Source organism: Homo sapiens, chromosome 6, assembly GCF_000001405.40.
Source record: "Homo sapiens chromosome 6, GRCh38.p14 Primary Assembly".
Taxonomy (NCBI): domain Eukaryota; kingdom Metazoa; phylum Chordata; class Mammalia; order Primates; family Hominidae; genus Homo; species Homo sapiens.
In genome coordinates, this window is record NC_000006.12 from 20,252,562 (window position 1) to 20,272,615 (window position 20,054).

Genomic DNA, 20,054 nt, shown 5'->3' on the forward strand with positions numbered 1-20,054 from the left:
AGAAGTAGGGAAAATAGTTTGGTGTTGGTGGTGGCTGTGTAGGACTTGGGAGGACAAAGTGCTGTTGTTGAGAGATGGATAAAGAGACCAGACTGATGGGCCAGAACCTGAAGTATCTGAGTGCTGCCAAAGAACATCACTCTCAAAGGAAGGCACATGAGGAACAGATAAAGAGTCTTATTAGGCAGGGCGCCATGGCTCATGCTGGTAATTCCAGCACTTTGGGAGGCTGAGGCAGGAGGATCACTTGAGGCCAGGTGTTTGAGACCAGCCTGGGCAACATGGTGAGACACCTTCACTACAAAAAATTTAAAAAATTAGCCAGGCATAGAGGCATGTGCCTATAGTCCCAGTGACTCAGGAGGCTGAGGCGGGAGGATTGCTGGAGCAGGGAAGTTCAAGGCTGCAGTGAATTATGATCACACTACTGTACCCCAGCCTGGGCGACAGAGCAAGACCCTGTCTCAGGAAAACAAAAAGTCTTATTAAATCCAAGGAGGGGAAGACTAGGGTTGAGCTTGCTGAGAGACTGAGAGCCACATCAGAAAAGATGATGACTTGGAAACTGAATCAAAATGCACCAGAGAGAGGCAATTCTACACACAAAAAATGCTGGGCCGGGCTTTGCTGGAACCGATTGAGGTGTGGAACACCCTCATTCCTGCACTGAGCTACTCCTCCCTGACTCCACCTGAGCCTACTTGCCCCAAATTAACCTTTAAACTGAGGGCTGACATTTACCTGGCAGGCACCTTTCTTCTCCTTCCTCTTTCCTTCCCAAATTGCCTATGCCACTCTCCCCATAAATCTCATCTAAGCTCTGGGCCAAAGACCTTCAGGAACAACATGTAAGGGAATGTGAGCAAAAAAGTCTTTAAAAACATATGATGGACACATTTTGTAATTACCTTTATTGATGTTGTGTATAAAACATTCCAGATAATTCTACAGCTCTTAAGCTGTATGTAAGCACTTTTTCAAATTTTAAAGGTAACTTTTCAGCCTAATCTATACTGGTCCCTCTCTCCTTATCAGAGCCAAACACTGAAACTTCATTATTCCATGCCAAGCACCGTGTAAACCAGAAAGATGATTTCAGGAGGAGTTTGCATACCTCCAAAAACAAAATTCCCAGGTTAAGGGCATCCTGGGGCATGTTTTTAAGTTAGTGACCAAACAAATCAACGTGATGAGACTGTTTTAGAAAACCAAACCTTTGTCTCATTCTTTCTGTAGCCTCCTCCAACAGAACAACTCACATATCATGTTATGGCATCTACTTCTTCCCATAACTTGTTTGCAAAAAATGTTTGCCACTGATTTAGCTAGGCAAAACTCATCTCATCCCATGTTCCTGGATCAAAACCTTCCCTGGTTTCTTTTAGAGGGAAATGGCATTTCAAGACCACAATCTGGTCTGTAAAGATGCTTATTGCTACGAGTTGTTCACTGTTTCATGAATATAATATTCTCCAAGTTCTCACAAGTTGAAAACAGATTGTCTATACCCTTCATACTTAAAATTCATTTTTCCTGGATATAAAATTCTTGGCTCTAATTTTCTGTCCTTGAGTATTTAAAATGTTGACTCCATTTTCTTCTAACGTAAAGTGGTGGTGTTGAAAAATGATAATCTCAGTTTCTTTCCCTTATAAATAACATGATCTTTTTGGCTAGAGGCCCAAAGGATTTTTTTTTTTCTCTAAAATCCTGTAATCCTGTACTTTTACTAAAATATGTCTTAGTGTTGGTCATTCTGGGTCAATATTCTCAAACATGCAATGCACTTTCTTCAATATAGAATTTCAATTTTCTATTTCATACAGTTTTCTTGAACTATAATTTGTGATAGTTGTTCTATTCCCTAACTTTTGTATATTTTTTCCAGAAACTCCTGTTAGCCATATTTTATATCCTCTTTGTCTATCTTCAATATTTATCAATTTCTCTTTGTTTTTTCATATAGTTCTTCATTTTTTAACCTTTAAAAATGTTTTCCCTTTCCATCTTCTATTTCTTTTAAGGAGTTTGTGCTTGCATTTTTTCTTGTTTAGTTTTAAGAAATTATTTATTTTCTTTCTGGCTCTTTCCTTAGTTCTATGACCACATTCTAAGTTTTTAAAAATTCTGATTTGTGTTATTTTTTCAACTTTTTGTACAATTTTCTTATTGCCTTTTAGCTCATTGTGAAAGAGAAGATTACAATTTTGATCTTCTCTATGGACATGGCTTTCTGCCATGCTTTCATTGTCTGTAGGGATATTATCTTGCTCTTTGTTATCTTTTTTCTAATAGCTTTGTGTAGGAATTGGTTGCTATCAATTTCCCACACTCATTTTATGTGAAATTGGTTTGCTGAACTTTTAGAAGGAGGCATGGTTCAGGGTAGCTTTTTAACTTCATACGACCCTCACTTCTGTTACCTGAAAACAATAAAATGTAATGAATACAGTGTTCAAAAATCAAGTGGCTTGCTTTCTGAGATTTCTTGGGTGTGTCCTCTCTCACATGTATTTAGATCTTCTCTTTATTATTCTCTCTTACTACCAGCACTTTTTCTTCAAAGTGGAGTGCTCTCTTGGAAAAAGGCCCTGGTAGACCAATTTTGAGAGTTCATAGGTCTTTGGGCCTCCTGGGTGTGAGTCATAGCCATATTCCCAGGTGTAGACTATGTTGCCTCTAGAATTCATAGAGGCCCACCAGGCGCTGTGCTTCCTTCTTTGTGTTAGGGGATGCAAGATGCAGCAATATGCCCTTACTTTGGAGGATATGTACCAACACAATCCTGTCCACTAGACCCCTAAAAACCTTCCTGATTTGGCCGATCTCTGGATCTTTGTAGGATTTATTTCCCATTCTCTGGAGTACATGGGTCTCACCAAGGCTTCCAACTTGCACAAGCCACCTCTTACTCATCCTTCCTGACCAGTATGATATCACAGATGTAATGAATCAATGTGATGTTCTACAGCACTGATTACTAGACAAAAAATTAGAAATAAAAATTTCTAATAAAAAATTAGAAATAACCTAAATACCCATCAATGCCTATGACTGAGTAAATTATTACACAATATTAATTATTATACAATAATTTACTCAATCATAGGCATTGATGGATATTTAGCATATTCATCAATGGATATTCAGCATATCTATATTTAGGCATTGATGATATTTAATATATCATAGAAACCTCTGTGAATCTATAGATGTTTCCTTTTTTTTTTTTTTTTTTTTGAGATGAAGTCTCACTGTGTTGCACAGGCTGGAGTGCAGTGGCACATCTCGGCTCACTGCAACCTCCACCTCTTGAGTTCAAGCGATTCTCCTGGATCAGCCTCCTGAGTATCTGGGATTACAGGCGGGTGCCACCATGCCCAGCTAATTGTTTTTGTATTTTTAGTAGAGACAGAGTTTCACCATGCTGGCCAGGCTGGTCTTGAACTCCTGATCTCAAGTGATCTGACCACCTCAGCCTCCCAAAGTGCTGGGATTACAGGCATGAGTCACCGCACCCGGTGATCTGTTTCCTTTTAGTGGCTGCATCAACATGAACATGCAGCCATTAAAAGCAAACAGATCTATACATTTACAGAGGTTTCTATATTATTACATGAAAAATGCAAGTTACAGAGTGCTGAGTATAGTGTGTGCCTATTTATGCACAAAGAAAAATATATGTTTGTATTTATTGTTATTATGGTTTGTATATGCATAAAAGGTCTGGAAGGTACACAGTAAGCTGTTGTGTCAGTGTGTCTCCTAAGAGTGGAGAACAAGGCCAGGCGCGGTGGCTCATGCCTGTAATCCCAGCACTTTGGAGGCCGAGGCGGGTGGACCACCTGAGGTCAGGAGTTCAAGACCATCCTGGGCAACATGGTGAAACCCCGTCTCTACAAAAATACAAAAATTAGCCTGGTGTGATGGCGGGTGCCTATAATCCCAGCTACTTGGGAGGCTGAGGTGGGAGATTCACTTGAACCCAGGTGGTGGAGGTTGCAGTGAGCCAAGATCATGCCATTGCACTCCAGCCTGGGTGACAGAGTGAGACTCTGTCTGAAAAAAAAAAAAAATTAAAGAGTGAAGAATAAAATATGGCGGTAAAAACTGGAGAAGAGAACTTTCAGTTTTAATTTCCACAAGACTGTCAGAAATTCTGTTGCTCAATAGTGCCTTGGGGATAATATGATTTTGAGGAACTGTACCATGGTTTTAGCTCACATGTCACATATCTGAAACAATGAGCCCCTGAAATTAAGGGGAAAATGAGCATTGAGGTCACATACACTTTTCCACAGAACATGGCTTCAAGATTATTCATTTTACTGCTACTTAGTATTTCATGAAGAGGTTGTATCTGTTTATTTAAGTTTTACCTGCCTCTTGAACATGAAAGTTACCTGCAATTTCCCCTGCTTTCAATATCTCTGCTATAAATATATTTGAATATGTAGGTTTAAAAAAAATCTTTGGGATTATTCCTTAGATAAATCCTCCCTGGGTCCAAATCTGTGATCCTCTCACAATTCATGTTACCTATTATCCTCCAGAATGACTGTCACCTCCAAGTGAAATTGCCAAAAGCAGTTCCCACATTCTCAACTTCCTCGAGTCCTATTTATTCGTGTTAAGTTGAATTTATTCTTTCACATTAAAGGCCAGAGAGTTCTGCCTAGACTACTTAGAAATGGTCAGTGTGCCACTTAACACCATTGGCTTTCCTAGCTCTCAGACCTTCAAACTCAAACTGGATCTAAACCACCAGCTCTCCTGGATCTCCAGCTTGCTGACTACAGATCCTGGGACTTCTTGGTCTCTGTAATTGCTGAGCCAATTCCTTATATTAAACATATATCTCCCATTGGCTCTGTTTCTCTGGAGAATCCCAGCTGATACAATAAGATAGAAAACTAGATAAATAAAGATATTATAATTAAAATAATATTTCAGTTTAATTATTAACTATGATATGCATAGGTATCTCTGTAACCGATGCTCTCTGAATAAAATATTCAAATAAACATGTTACAGTGTGCATATAAACACATGGGTGCATGTAAAAAATAACTGAAACTGAGGCTGGGCGTGGTGGCTCACACCTGGAATCCCAATACTTTCGGAGGCTGAGGCAGGCAGATCACCTGAGGTCAGGAGTTTGAGACCAGCCTGGCCAACATGGTAAAAACCCATCTCTACTAAAAATACAAAACTTAGCCAGGCATGCTGGCACACGCCTGTAATCCCAGCTACTCGGGAGGCTGAGGCAGAATTGTTTGAACCTGGGAGGCAGAGGTTGCAGTAAGCCGAGATCGCAGCGCTACATTCCAGCCTGCGCAACAGAGTGAGACTCTGTCTCAAAAAAAAAAAAAAAAAAAAAAAATGAAACTGAATCCATCCATTGACAGACTATATAGAGGAAGCACTTATGTATAATACTAGATGATGAACACACTTAACACATCCACTGACATACAATAATGTCTTATGTGATGCAGAGTGGAATACAGTCCAGAATGGTAGAGTTGAGTTTAATGGACAGATATTTTTGGCTGGGCATGGCAGCTCATGCCTGTAATCCCAGCACTTTGGGAGGCCAGGGCAGGTGGATCACCTGAGGTCAGGAGTTTGAGACCAAGCTGGGCAACAAAGCGAGACCCTATCTCTGCAAAAATAGAAAGAGAGAGAGGAGAAAAATATTACGTACTGCTTCCATTTCTACAATCTTAAATGCAACCCGTCAGTTACACTCGCCATATTTCAAGTACTCACTTGCCACATGTGGTGAGTAGCTACCAGACTGGGTGGTAGTTAAAGGGAAATGCAGTGTCATATGGAAGCTTGCTGAAAAATAAGAGAGATTTGCATACATTGTACAGACAGGGATACAGCTAATAGAGTGGGAGAGCGGGTACTACACAGTAATGGACAATGTCCCCAAAAAGACAATGAAGATACAGGATTCAGAGCAACCGTTCTTGGAGAGGAGAGACATCCCATTTTAGCCCTAAAGCTGCCACTAAGTAGCTACTCCTTCTCCATGTACCCACCCCCACCTCCTAAAGAGAATAAGGTAAGACTAAAGCCCCCCAAATGGTTGCGAAGGATGAGGAGACAGCATGGGATATTTTAAAAGAGCGTGCCTGCTGCATTAGACAGTCCTGGGTTCAAATCCTGTCTCCACCGTTTGTCATGTGACTTTTGTCAAATTATTTGAGCTTCTGATTCCTTATAATGTAGGTAGGGAAGAAACTACCTATCTTAAAGTATAGTGTGAGAATTAAACAAGGCACACAAAGAAATACTGCAGTAACTGTCTCATTAGAAGCACTCAATCTCTCATATCAACTATTAAAAACACTGTTTACTGTTCGGGTGCAGTGGCTCACCTCTGTAATCCCAGTACTTTGGGAGGCCCGAGGCAAGTGGATCACCTGAGGCCAAGAGTTCGAGACCAGCCTGGCCAACATGGCGAAACCCCATCTCTACTAAAAATTAGCTGGGCCTGGTGGTGCACACCTGTAATTCCAGCTACTTGGGAGCTGAGGCAGGAGAATTGCTTTAACTCAGGAGGCGGAGGCTGCAGTGAACCAAGATCTCCCCACTGCACTCCAGCCTGGTGACAGAGTGAGACTCTGTCTCAAAAAACAAAACAAAACAAAAGAAATACTGCTTACCTATTTCATGAATTTGCCTGGTACTCTATCAGGTAGCTAAAAGGAACCCTAAGCCTACCATTTAATAAATTGTACTGGGTACAACTGCCAAGTCGCAGAATATTAGTGGTGGACTGAAAGTGTCGTGGGAGATATGGACAGCTTCTACCGTTGAGAGGTGAAAGCGTGCTGGCAGTCCTCACAGCCCTCGCTCGCTCTCGGTGCCTCCTCTGCATGGGCTCCCACTTTGGCAGCACTTGAGGAGCGCTTCAGCCCGCCGCTGCACTGGAGCCCCTTTCTGGGCTGGCCAAGGCCGGAGCCGGCTCCCTCAGCTTACGGGGAGGTGTAGAAGGAGAGGCGCGGGAGAGAACCGGGGCTGCGCAAAGCGCTTGCGGGCCAGCGCGAGTTCCGGGTGGGCGTGGGCTCAGCGGGCCGGCACTCGGAGTGGCCGGCCGGCCCGCCCCGCCGGCCCGGGCAGTGAGGAGCTTAGCACCTGGGGCAGCAGCTGCTGTGCTCACTTTCTCGCCGGCCCTTACCTGCCTTCCCGCAGGGAAGGGCTCGGACCTGCAGCCCGCCATGCCTGAGCCTCCCCGCCGCCCTCCGTGGGTTCCTGCGCTGCCCCCTGCTCCACCGCGCCCAGTCCCATTGACTACCCAAGGGCTGAGGAATGGGGGCGCATGGCGCGGGACTAGCAGGCAGCTCCACCTGCGGACCCCGTGCACATCCACTGGGTGAAGCCAGCTGGGTTCCTGAGTCTGGTGGGGACTTGGAGAACCTTTATGTCTAGCTAAGGGATTGTAAATACACCAATGGGCACTCTGTATCTAGCTCAAGGTTTATAAACACACCAATCAGCACCCTGTGTCTAGCTCAGGGTTTGTGAATGCACCAATCAACACTCTGTATCTAGCTACTCTGGTGGGGACTTGGAGAACCTTTGTGTGGACACTCCATGTTTACCTAATCTAGTGAGGATGTGGAGAACCTTTGTGTCTAGCTCAGGGATTGTAAATGCACCAATCAGCACCCTGTCAAAACAGACCACTTGGCGCTCTGTAAAGTGGACCAATCAGCAGGATGTGGGTGGGGCCAGATAATAGAATAAAAGCAGGCTGCCCTAGCCAGCCCTGGCAACCGGCCCTGATCCTCTTCTGCACTGTGGAAGCTTTGTTGTTTCACTCTTTGCAGCAAATCTTGCTGCTACTAACTTTCTGAGTCCACACTGTGTTTATGAGGTGTTGTACTCACCATGAAGGTCTGCAGCTTCACTGTTAGAACCAGCAAGATCACGAACCCAGCAGGAGGAACGAACTCGAGACGGGCCGCCTTAACAGCTGTAATACTCACCGCGAATGTCTGTAGTTTCACTCCTGAGCTTCTGAGACCACAAACCTTACCAGAAGAAAGAAACTCAAAACACATCCAAACATCAGAAGGAATAAACTCAGGACATGCTGCCTTTAAGAACTGTGACACTCACTGTGAGGATCCACAGCTTCCTTCTTGAAAATCAGTGAAACCAAGAATCTACTAATTCTGGACACACTTTAACATAACCATCATCCTTTTAGGTTAGGGCCAGCTGCAACTAAATCTCCTATCTCCAAGTCAAAACCACATTATGAGCCTGAAAGAGGACAAAATATAATTAAAAGATATCCTCCCTTGGTATCATACAGTTGACCTTTCTTTTATCTCTGAAAACCTAAACTTGATGTGATGTTTCACGAAGTATTTGAGATGTTCCCCCAGTTTTGTGGGGTGAGGCACCCTTACCTAGACTCTTGAAAAGGCATTTTTAAGTCCTGTGGCAGCCAAATCACCTCAGAAGTAGCCCAGCCAATATCCAGCAGTGAGGGAAACTGCTCCTGGTGAGGATTACCCATCATGCCTGTGTGCCCCGCCTACACCATGCATCTAGCAGCAATCCCCTCAACAAGTTTTGGAGGGACCTGAGGAATAAACAAATTTTTGCCCCTCCAGGTTGTCCACTCCTACTGGTCACTTTCCCTATCACTACTAATTGGTTGGAAGTCCTAGTCACTCTACACTGTCATTTTTGTGGTGTAATATCCTCAGTGGTAAATCAATGACAAAAGAAGTGGAATGATTTGATGGCTTATAAAAGTGATCAGGTCTTCAGAAAGCCTGTGTGCAGGTGTTTTATTATGAGGCATTTCAAACAGTCAAGAAAACAGGGAGAAGAAAACAAGCTCTCAGTCACCACCATCCAGATTTAATAAATGTTCCCATTTCCCCATGTTTACTTCACATGTTTCTAAGGAAATAAAGTATCACAGATGTAGTTGAAGTCCTGTTTCTCCCTGTTCTTGAAGTCACGTTATTATTTTTTAACTTTAAAAACTTAAATACCTAGATTGTGAACATAGCGGTAATAAATCTGAAAAGAGCGTTCAAAGGCAAAGTGAAAATTCTATTCTTGTGTTCTACGGGCTTTGATTTAACTAGTGATAGGGCCACATTTTCCTTCTCATTTATGGTGCCATTCTTTTTCCTTTTTCAAAGAATCTCAAACCCAGAATTAGAGTTTTTCATTGTGTACTAGCAGGTTGTGAACAAAAAGTAGATCCATATTTCCTTCCAAATTTCTACCTGACTTCAATCTAAATTATTAAGGTTTAAAATGCCCAAAGACATCACAGAGGTCTTGCGTAATTTCACAAGTTAAGACATTTGGTTTTATATTTTATTTTCTCATAGAGTAACCATTTAGGGTTGCAATGTGGCAGAGTGCTAAACAAATAAACAAAAAGAAAGAAAAAAGCCAAAAAACGAAGTGCTGCTTTTGCCCAATCAAAATCTTTCTATTCAACTCACTTTTTATTCATTTCCATCAAAATCTGAATATTTACTTATCCACCAATTTGTTCAAATTTATGTAACTCAGGGTGAAAGCTCAGTAAATTTAATAAAAATTTATGTTATGTTATTAACTGGATTTTAGTTAGCATCTGAATTTTTACATCCTATAAGACTGGACTGTCTAGAAGTTAAGAACTTTTTATTACTTTCCAAGGATCTATTTGGAAAATCTAGATTTCCCCTTAAGTTCATTATTTTAAATTATTCTTTAAGAAATAAAAGGCATTCAAATAGAAAAGAAAATTAGTAAAATTTTCACTATTTGCACTTATATATACAAAACCCTGAAGACTCCATTAAAAAAATTGTTAGAACCAATAAGCAAATTCTGTAAAGTTGCAAGGTACAAAATCAATGCACAAAAATCACTAGGGTTTCTATACATTAACAGCAGGCTATACAAAAAATAAATCAAGAAAACAATCCCATTTACAATAGCTACAAAAAAAGTAAGTACTTAGAAATAAATTTAACCAAAGAGGTGAAAGGTCTGTACACTAAAACTATAAAATATTAATGAAAAAATTTGAAGACACAAATGGAAAAATATCCTGTGTTCATGAATTTAAAGAATTAATATTTTTAGAAAGTCTATAGTGCCCAAAACAATCTACAGATTCAATGAAATTCCTATTAAAATTCCAATGTCATTTTTCACAGAATTAGAAAAAATAATCCTAAAATTCGTATGTAACCACACACACACACACACACACACACACACACACACACACCTGAATAGCTAAGGCAAAATTTAGCAAAAAGAACAAAGCAGCTGGGAATGGTGGCTCACATCTGTAATCCCAGCACTTTGGGAAGCTGAGACAAGAGGATCACTTGATTCCAGGGGTTCAAGACCGCCTAGAAAACATAGCAAGACCTTGTCTCTACAAAAAATAAAAATAATAATAAAAATTTGCCAGACATGGTGATGCACATCTATAATTCCATCTCCTTAGAAGGTTGAGGTGAGGAGATCTCTTTAGCTCAAGAGTTTGAGTCCACAGTGAGCTATGATTGTACCACTGCACTCCGGCCTGGGTGACAAAGTGAGACCCTGTCTCAAAAAAAAAAAAAAAAAAAAAAAAGGACAAAGCTAGAGGCATCACCTTAACTTGATTTCAAACTATATTACAAAGCTATAATAGTTAAAACAGCATGGTACTGGCATAAAAACAGATACATTGACCAACGGAATAGAAAAACAGAGAACCCAGAAATGAACCCACATATTATAATTCATTAATTTTTGACAAAGGTGTCAAAAACACACAATGGGAAAAGGACAATCTCTTCAATAAAGGGCATTGGGGAAACAGGATAACCACATGCAAAAGAATGATATCAGACTCTTATATCACACCATCTGCAAACATCAACTCAGGCTGGGCACAATGGCTCATGCCTGTCATCCCAGCACTTTGGGAGGCCAGGCGGGCAAATCGCTTAACCTCAGTAGTTCAAGATCTGGGCAACATGACAAAATCCCGTCTATTTAAAAAAAACAAAAAAACCTCAAAATGATTAAATATTTAAATATAGGACTTGAAACTGTAAAACTAATGGAAGAAAACATCAGGAAAAAACTACACAGCATTGATTTGGGCAATTTTTTTGGATTTGACCCAAAAGGCTCAGACAACAAAAACAAAAATAGCCAAAGGGACTACACCAAACAAAAAAGCTTCTGTATGGCAAAGGAAACAATTAATAAAGAGACAACCTATGGATTGGGAGAAAATATTTGCAAGCTGTACATCTGATAAGGGCTTAATATCCAAAGGAACTCAAATAGTTAAATAACAAGAAAACAAATACCCCGATTTAAAAATGGGCAAAGGATCTTAATAGATATTTCTTGAAAGAAGACATAAAAATGGCCAGCAGATACACAAAAAATGCTTAACACCACCAATCATTAGGAAAATGCAAATTAAAAACACAATGAAATATCTCACACTTACAATAGCTATTATCAAAAGGACAAAAGGTAACAAGTGTTGATGAGGATGTGGAGAAAAAGGAATCCTTGTACACTGTTGGTGGGATGTAAATTAGTACAGCCATTACAGAAAACTACACTATGGAGGTTCCTCAAATCACTAAAAATAAAATCATGATATGATCCAGCAATCCGTCTTGTAGGTATAGATACAAAGGATTTGAAATTAGTATGAAATTAGTATGTTGAGTTATCTGCAATCCCATGTTAATTACAGCCTTATTCACAATGACAAGTTGTGGAATCAAAATAAGTGTCTATAAATGGATGAATGGATAAAGAAAATGTAATAGATACCCACAATGGATTATTATTCAGCCTTTAAAAATAAAGAAATCCTATCATTTGCAACAACATGAAATGAACCTGGAGGACATTAAACTAAGTGAAATAAGCCATAACCATGCACAGAAAGACAAAGACTGCAGTTCTCACTTACCTGTGGAATCTAAAACAATTGAACTTCTAGAAAGACAAAGTAGAATGGTGGTTACAGAGGCTAGGGCTTGGGAGAATGGGTATTGACTAAAGGGTAAGAAGTTTCAGTTAGACAAGAAGAGTAAGTTTTTTGAGACATATTGCACAGTATAGTGACTATAGTTAATAATACTACATCATATATTTCAAAATTGCTAAGAGTAAATTTCAAAAGTTCTCAACACAAAATGCGATAATTATTTGTGATAATGGGTATGTTAATTAGCTGGATTTAATTATCCCACATTATATACATGTATCATAAGATCACTTTATACTCCATAAATATATACAATTATACTTTGTCAAAATACAATAAAAATTTTAAAACCAAATTATTCTTTGATAAAGTGTTATAGCCATTCTCAAAGAAGAAAATCACCAGAAGGATGTAATGACTTTCACCAAAGAGTAAAGCAATGCTTCATCTTTCCAAGATTTCTCCACATCTCCTTCCCAGAGTTCTTTTTTGTTTTTTTAAAGATGGAGTCTCACTATGTTGCCCAGGCTGGACTTCAACTCTTGGGTTCAAGTGATCCTCATGCCTCAGCCTCCCAAGCAGCTCAGACTACCATCACACATCACCACGTCTAGCTTCCTTTCCAGAGTTTTATTTTCCTCCAACACATGAATTTCTATGACACTGTCTACTACTTTTAATTTTTTATTAAATTTTATCTTATAGTTATTTGTGAACAAGTCTTATATTCCCTTTTATTTATTTATTGAGACAGAGTCTCACTTTTATTTATTTATTGAGACAGACCCAGTCTGGAGGGCAGTGGTGCAATCATAGCTCACTGCAGCCTTGAACTCCTGGGATCAAGGGATCATCTTGCCTCAGCTTCCCAAGTAGCTAGGACTACAGGTGCACACCACCATGCCTGGCTAATTTTTTTTTTTTTTTTTTTTTTTTTTTTTTGTAGAGATGGGATCTCTCGTTGTTGCCCAGGCTGCTCTCAAACTCCTGGGCTTAAGCAGTCCTTAGCCTCTTAAAGTGTTGGGATTACAGGAGTGAGCCATTGTGCCTGACCTATATCCACTTTTAGATGTTGGATATCTTAAGGGGTAGGTCTATATCTTACCTTTTGATTTGTTTTATTTTTCAATCTTCCATGGCACCTGACTCAACACTTTGCACAGAGAATGAAAGATGGAAGAAATGAAGTAGTGGACAAGCAAACATCAATGTGGAGACAGATTCTCATTTTCCCCATTTGGTCTTGGCTGCTTAAGAAAAGGTGAAAAGCAGGAGAAGATGCTTCCCGGTACTGCAACGTAGGGCAAAGTGGAGCTGACAAATGGAAAGAATGTGACCTTGGGAATGAGATTCTTGCCTTTTCTGAGGTATGACTACTAAGTAGTATTGCATAAGAAAAAGTGCCTTGCTTTTATAATTGATGAATAATAACTATCATGATTGTTCCTGGAGAGAGCACTTGCTCACAGATAGATGGGACATCCAGACTCCAGGCCTGGTTTTGCTACAGGCTGAGCAGCTGTGCAACTTCAGGCAAGTCATTCACCCTCTCTGGGCCTCTCTTTTCTCATTATTGAAGTTGAAAAGTTATGTGTATAATTGATGAGAAAATCAGTGAGGTGTCCTCCAGCTCTAAGATTTAGAAAATAAATGTTTAATGTTACGAATTCATCATCCTAGTTCCTAGTTGAGGAACTCCATAATTTCTCTCTCTCTCTCTTTTTTTTTTTTTTTTTTTTTTTTTTTTTTTTTTTTTTTTGAGACAGGGTCTCACTCTGTTGCCCAGGCTGGAGTGCAGTGGCATGGTCAGCTCACTGCAACCTCCACCTCCCAGGTTCAAACACTTCTCATGCCTCAGTTTTCTGACTAGCTGGGATTACAGGCGTGCACCACCATGCCTGGCTAATTTTTGTATTTTTAGTAGAGACAAGGTTTCACCATGTTGGCCAGGCTGGTCTTGAACTCCTGACCTCAAGTGATCCGCCCACCTCAGCCTCCCAATGTGTTGGAATTACAGGCATGAGCCACCATGCCTGGCCCTCTTGTTCTTTTCAATAGCAACACACTTGATACATTTATAGAAACTACTACTTCTAAGTTTTGTTTCACTCCATGAAAAAATAAGAATTCAATTTTTAAAAAATCTATGCATCTTTCAGAGAAAAGTATTTAACTCCTTTTTTATATTATACCATCCATTGAGCATGTCTTCAACATATTTTTCCTGAATGAATGAATAATGCTTTAGTGGGTGTTTGCCAAAAGTTCCAAAAATAATAATTCATATTTCCTACTAGGTTTGATTCTTTATAGACCTCCAGCTTCGCTTTTCTTCTTTACTAAAATTGGCTTTGAGTCACTGGTATGATTCATAACTTTAAAAAGCAAGTTGAACCTGAAATTGCCCTGGCAGGAAATTAGCTGAGGAACACAGAACAAGTGAAAGGGAGAAGCCCACCACCAAAAAAAAAAAAAAAAAAGTTCTTTTTTTCATTTTCTGGTTCCTGATATGAAATGAGGAAGTGTCAACAAGTAACTTTATTCTCATCTCTCTCCTTCCATTGCTTGAAATAGTCAAAATCAGATGCAAAGTACAGAGCGCTTAAATCTCCAGAATCCAAGAGGCACATGTTTCAGGTGTGGCTGGCCTCCCCACTCCACCCCTAGATGAGTCATTCATCGAGAGGTAAGCAGAGCAAGATGAATTGGCATCCTGTGGGTGAGAAAAGGTACAGACCCGGTTTCAAGAGATCCAGGTCAGGCCTTGACCCACAAAGAAATCATTGATGTCAGACAGGGAGAGACTGATGAGAAGAGCAGAGAGATGGCTGTCAGAGAGCAGAGAAGATTATCTAACACAGCCAGATCTGCTGGTATCCCATAAAAGGGCAGAGAGAGCAGAGGGGCGAGATGCGCAGGCGACATTGGGCAGGGGTTCTGACTGATGTGAGGAGGCGAGGCTTTTCCTCGTTGTAGAAGGGCGGCCATCTTTGAAGATGGATCCTGAAACCTAAGAGGGTGCTTTCAGTTCCCGGCTTTCAATATCCTCTCTGCAACCCAAGCTTTCAATAATATCTGGCAGTTTGTTAGGAAGCCACTTTGCCTTCTCCTGGGCTATTTTCCCATGGATAATAGCAGCATATCCTTTTGCTTGTCTGGAAGCCAGTAAAAGTAATTATTCTAGGAAAGTAAACAAGACACCCTCGGAGAGTATAATACAGTCAGGTCGGAGTGGGGTGGTTTGAGTCTTTAGTCAGTGCAAGGAGGTTTCCTAATACCCACCCCCCATCATGTGGGTACAAAGGGGTCCTGCCCTGGACCCCCTGCTTCAGGAAGTTCACTCTTGCCCTTCTGTGGTCATGCCCTTCCTTCAGGGCAAAAAGGACACACCTGCCTGGAGCTCATGCCCTCTCTTCTACGTCTCACTCCAGGTATATGAGGCCCTAGGATTCTCTCTGCAAATGGCGCTCAGCCCTTTTCCAGGCCTGGCACTGGTCTCTTCTCTGGGTCTGCTCCAAAGGACAGAACAGCTAGAGAACCCAACGTGGCACTGCAGGTGGCCATGGCAGCCATTGGGGAGGTGGTGGAAGGTGCATTAGATGTCTGTGCAAGACTAGGGTGTCCACACAGGTACCATGTGCTACATCCTCTGCAGTACAGGGGTGGGGCTGGTGGTGAGAAGAGAAGAAGGGCACCCAGGAGGTGGGTGTTGCAGCCTGGGGACTAGACCGGTTCTCCACACTTCAGTGAGCAACACTAAGTAGCCCAAGAATTCCCAATCAGACCTTGCCTTCCAAGTGTCATGAAAGAACACTTGTCAGCCGGGCGCAATGGCTTATGCCTGTAATCCTAGCAGTTTGGGAGGCTGAGGCAGGTGGATCACCTGAGGTCAGGAGTTCGAGACCAGCCTGGCCAACATAGTGAAACCTTGTCTCTACTGAAAATATGAAAAATTAGCTGGGCATGGCAGTGGGCACCTGTAGTCCCAGCTACTAGGAAGGCCGAGGCAGGAGAATCTCTTGAACCTGGGAGGCGGAGGTTGCAGTGAGCAGAGATCACGCCATTGCACTCCAGCCTGGGCAACAAGAGCGAAACTCCATCTCAAAAAAAAAAAAAAAGAAAGAAAGAAAGGAAGAAAGTACACTTGTCAATATAGAAGGATGGACCATATTTTATTTATGAAATTACAAGCTTCGTTTATAACTTTTAGACCTATGTCATGCGGGCCTCCATTTGTACTCTTGCCTGGGCCCTGAAAATGCTGGAAGTGGGGTGACCACACCATGTATTTCAATCCTAGGTTGGTTATTTATTGCTTTTATGGTGACAGAAGGATTGGAATTTGGTCAGTAGTGAAGGATTGTTTCTTTGATACATACCAATTTTTCAGTCTGTCAAAGGGATCACCAGGCTCTATATCCTAGAGCAATATTTAATCTAACATCAATAATTCATGACAATACCAGAAGAGGGGCTATAGTTTTCTTTGTAAAGGAAAATGAAGGTATCAGGTTGGATTATGGCTTCAAGAAATAACTGTAGTGACAGCTTTTCTTTATTTAAATTTCTAGACTTTTTCTAAGTATCTTTATTAAAGGACTTTGTGAGGTTGAGTATTTAGCAAATTAGTGAATTTTCTGTATTTTCACTTATTTTAGAGAAAGAACTATCACAATATTTAAACATTTCTAACCCTAAAAAAAATTTAATGGATCTCAAAACTTGCACTAGTTATTACTATAGCAACTACCCTGGGCTGCTAAGCCCACTCGTCTTGCTGCTCTACAAATCATAAAAATACCAAATAGACACCAAAGCCTTGTTAAATGCATCCTGACACAGTACAGAATTCTGTTTTGTAGTCTGTCTCTAACACTGTTTAAGGGGCTTAGTTGCCAGGGAACCTCGTCATCACAGCATCTTGCTTGGGCTCTGGTCCTAACAGCAATCTTGGAGAACAACTCATTGTAAAATGCCAATTACCATGAAGAAAAATGCTTTGAAAGTCTTCTTTAAAAAGAGGCGGACTCTATTTTACTTTTTGTAGCTTCATCACCATATTTATTTGGGCTTTGTGCATTTAATTAATGATTCTGTAATAGATATTTCATTCCATTGATGATTGGTTTGGTTATGCAAAGTACAGTGGTAAAAGAATGTGCTGGAGAGAATGAGTTCACTCACTATCCAGATGAGACCCAACAAATAAAGACCATTCTTTTTCAGTAGTGAACATCCACAGCCCAATCCAAAGCCTTCAGAAGAAGGGGAGAGGTCCTCCCTCATTTCTCCCTTTCCTAAGGAGTGCATATACCCCAGGTATCATCACAGATGCACCCCTACCAATGACGTTACTCACCCTGGTCACTGCCAGCCATCACTGATTTCACCACCGCTGACTCTGTCTTCTCTTTACAGCACTAATTCCTTGGAAAAGCTTTAAAAAAAAATGACTGGGCGCAGTGGCTCATGCCTGTAATCCCAGCACTTTGGGAGGCCGAGGTGGGTGGATCACAAGGTCAGGAGTTCGAGACCAGCCTGGCCAATATGGTGAAACCACGTCTCTATTAAAAATACAAAAATTAGCCAGGTGTGGTGGTGGGCACCTGTAGTCCCAGCTACTCAGGAGGCTGAGGCAGGAGAATCAGTTGAACCCTGGAGGCGGAGGTTGCAGTGAGCCGAGATCATGCCACTGCACTTCAGCCTGGGTGACAGAGCGAGGCTCAGTCTCAAAAAAAAAAAAGAGGGATATATGGGCGAGTGTTTCTGCCCACTGGATCTCCCCACTGCCGAACTTTGACATTGCTCTTTCACCGGAGCTAAATGAGTCAAAGCAGCCATCTGTTTTTCTATAGAGAGGGCTAGACAGTTCCGTTAATTTTCTCTGATTAACAGGCTGTGTGATATCATCACCTCCTCCTTAATATCTTGTAACACCTCTATCATAACACTTGTCTGAATCTCCTTGTATTTACTTGACCACAAGCTCTTTGACAGCAGGGGTTTTATCTACCTTGCAATGATTTTACATACCTTGCAAATGATTACATCTCTAGCACTTGCTCGTGCCACACCGTGAGTGCCCTAGAAAGGTTCCTTGAACTCAACTGAACCTCAAAATTTAGGAAAATAATGGTGCAGGGCTGTTTTCAAAACTACAGTGGGTATCTACTCACCCTCTTTCCCAGCTCTCACCCATCTTCCCAGCCCAACAATCTCATGTTATGGTCAAAGAGAAACCCCTTTATCACCTACAACCAGCCCTGATCTCCAGGCCCAGCCTCCAAGGGTGTATACAGGTTGTTCTAGATGGCTGGGTTGCATTTTAGTCTTGGTGGCTTTGGTTTTAATACAACTCCTCAAAATTAAGAGTGTGATCAGGAGAAGAAGAGGAAGCTCATTTCTGTTTGGGTGCAGCAGGGGACATAGCACAAGCTCCCTGTTCTGGAAGCCATTCAAGCTAGGACCTTTAGCTTCAAGCTATGACCTCACTGCATCTACTCACTTGACCTGGTTGGGTGGTGCAAATGGGATCAGGAGAGTTGAGTACTACAGAAATAGAATAGAAGAATGGGACATGGAAAAGGGATGCCCTTATGTTCATTTTTTTTTTTTTTTTTTTTTTGAGACAGAGTCTCACTCTGTCACCCAGGCTGGAGTGCAGTGGCGTGATCTCGGCTCACTGCAAGCTCCGCCTCCCAGGTTCACGCCATTCTCCTGCCTCAGCCTCCTGAGTAGCTGGGACTACAGGCACCCTTATATTCATTCTTAACTCCTAATCTGATAAAGTTGTAATTAACTAAATTACAACTTCATTATTCTCTAAGGGGAGCTAATTCTACCTTTCCTTCTGGCACTCACCATTTACTGAACAATTCTTATCTGAGTGTAGAATGTGACTATACCCACCAAGGCAAGCCCAGCCACCTTAGTAGCCATATGAGTAGATATAAAAAGATTGTTTCTTGGTTTGGAGACATAGCTACCATTTACAGAACCATCATGACTGTTTACACATTGGCCTCTTTAACGAAGAGCCTTTAGGGATCTTGACCATAGAATGTAAAAAAACATAGTCCCTGGTCTCAGGTAGCTCATAGTTTAATGTGGGAGAAAGACTCAAGTAAATCAGTAATTATGGCACGTTTATTTGGTATGTGTTATTTATGACAGAGTTATACTCAGGGTACAAAGAAATATTTGGAGTACAAAAAAAAAAAAGGCACCAATCAGACTGGGGAGGAGGAGTGTCAGGAAATTCCAAGATTCAGGATTAAACTGAATCTCGAAGGCCAAGTGTGATGTGGAAGAGGTGAGGAGAGGAAGGAGAGAGAGCAGGACACCCTGGCAGGGGCCTTAGGACATGCAAAGACTCAGAGGTATAAAAGCTGGGGATGTCTTGGGAACGGCAAATGTAGCACATTGGAAAGCAGTGGGAGGTGAGACCACACACATCATCTGGGGCCAGATCATGGGGGAGCGGATGTGCTAAGTTCAATTCACAGGACCACATTTTGGCTTAGGCTATCCCCTGTACTGTAAGCTCCAGAGAAAGCAGAGAACATACCTTCCTCATTTATTTCTGTATCTACAGTGTCTGGGCCATGGTAAACTCTCAACAGATGTGTGCTGGATAATTAGATTAATTCATTCATTAAACCTATCACTGGGAGAGGAATGTAATTTTATCAATGACAAACAACATTAGCATATTGTTACTGAGGAATGAATTTAAAAACAATGTAAAATACAAAAGATACTTAATTAAAGATAACAAGCTTTCAGCACCTACCACAAATAACATGAAGAGGTTTAGATTCTATCTCACAGAGCTGTTAAGGGAAAGTGCTCTCTATCCAGACCCCAAGAGAGGGATCTTGGATATCTTGCAAGAAAGAATTCAAGGTGAATCCATAGAGTAAAGTGGAAGCAAGTTTATTAGGAAACTAAAGGAATAAAAGAACGGTGACTCCATAGGCCGAGCAGCAGCTTAAGCTGCTCGGCTAAGGATACTTATTGTTACTTGTCAATTGTATTCTAAACAAGGGGTGGATTA

The 20,054-nt window shown here is 41.2% G+C and overlaps 1 long non-coding RNA gene across 1 annotated transcript in view, besides 3 other annotated features; it reads left to right on the plus strand.

Annotated features, from left to right (window-relative positions):
• Window positions 1-13,065: 13,065 nt before the first annotated feature.
• LOC101928573 (uncharacterized) overlaps window positions 13,066-20,054 on the plus strand; it is a 67,731-nt gene continuing 60,742 nt past the window's right edge. The window contains exon 1 of the long non-coding RNA XR_007059489.1: window positions 13,066-13,365. This is a non-coding gene — a long non-coding RNA (uncharacterized LOC101928573). The remainder of the gene's footprint in view (window positions 13,366-20,054) is intronic.
• Window positions 13,937-15,136: an enhancer, noted in NCBI's record as "MED14-independent group 3 enhancer chr6:20266729-20267928 (GRCh37/hg19 assembly coordinates)". NCBI's record gives its function as "activates an origin of replication core promoter dependent on BRD2, BRD4, P300/CBP and CDK7 cofactors, and independent of MED14, by STARR-seq in HCT116 cells {active_cell/tissue: HCT116}" and the evidence as "EXISTENCE:reporter gene assay evidence [ECO:0000049][PMID:35650434]".
• Window positions 14,427-14,586: an enhancer, noted in NCBI's record as "active region_24124". NCBI's record gives its function as "activates an Ori minimal core promoter by ATAC-STARR-seq in GM12878 lymphoblastoid cells {active_cell/tissue: GM12878}" and the evidence as "EXISTENCE:reporter gene assay evidence [ECO:0000049][PMID:35858748]".
• Window positions 14,847-14,986: an enhancer, noted in NCBI's record as "active region_24125". NCBI's record gives its function as "activates an Ori minimal core promoter by ATAC-STARR-seq in GM12878 lymphoblastoid cells {active_cell/tissue: GM12878}" and the evidence as "EXISTENCE:reporter gene assay evidence [ECO:0000049][PMID:35858748]".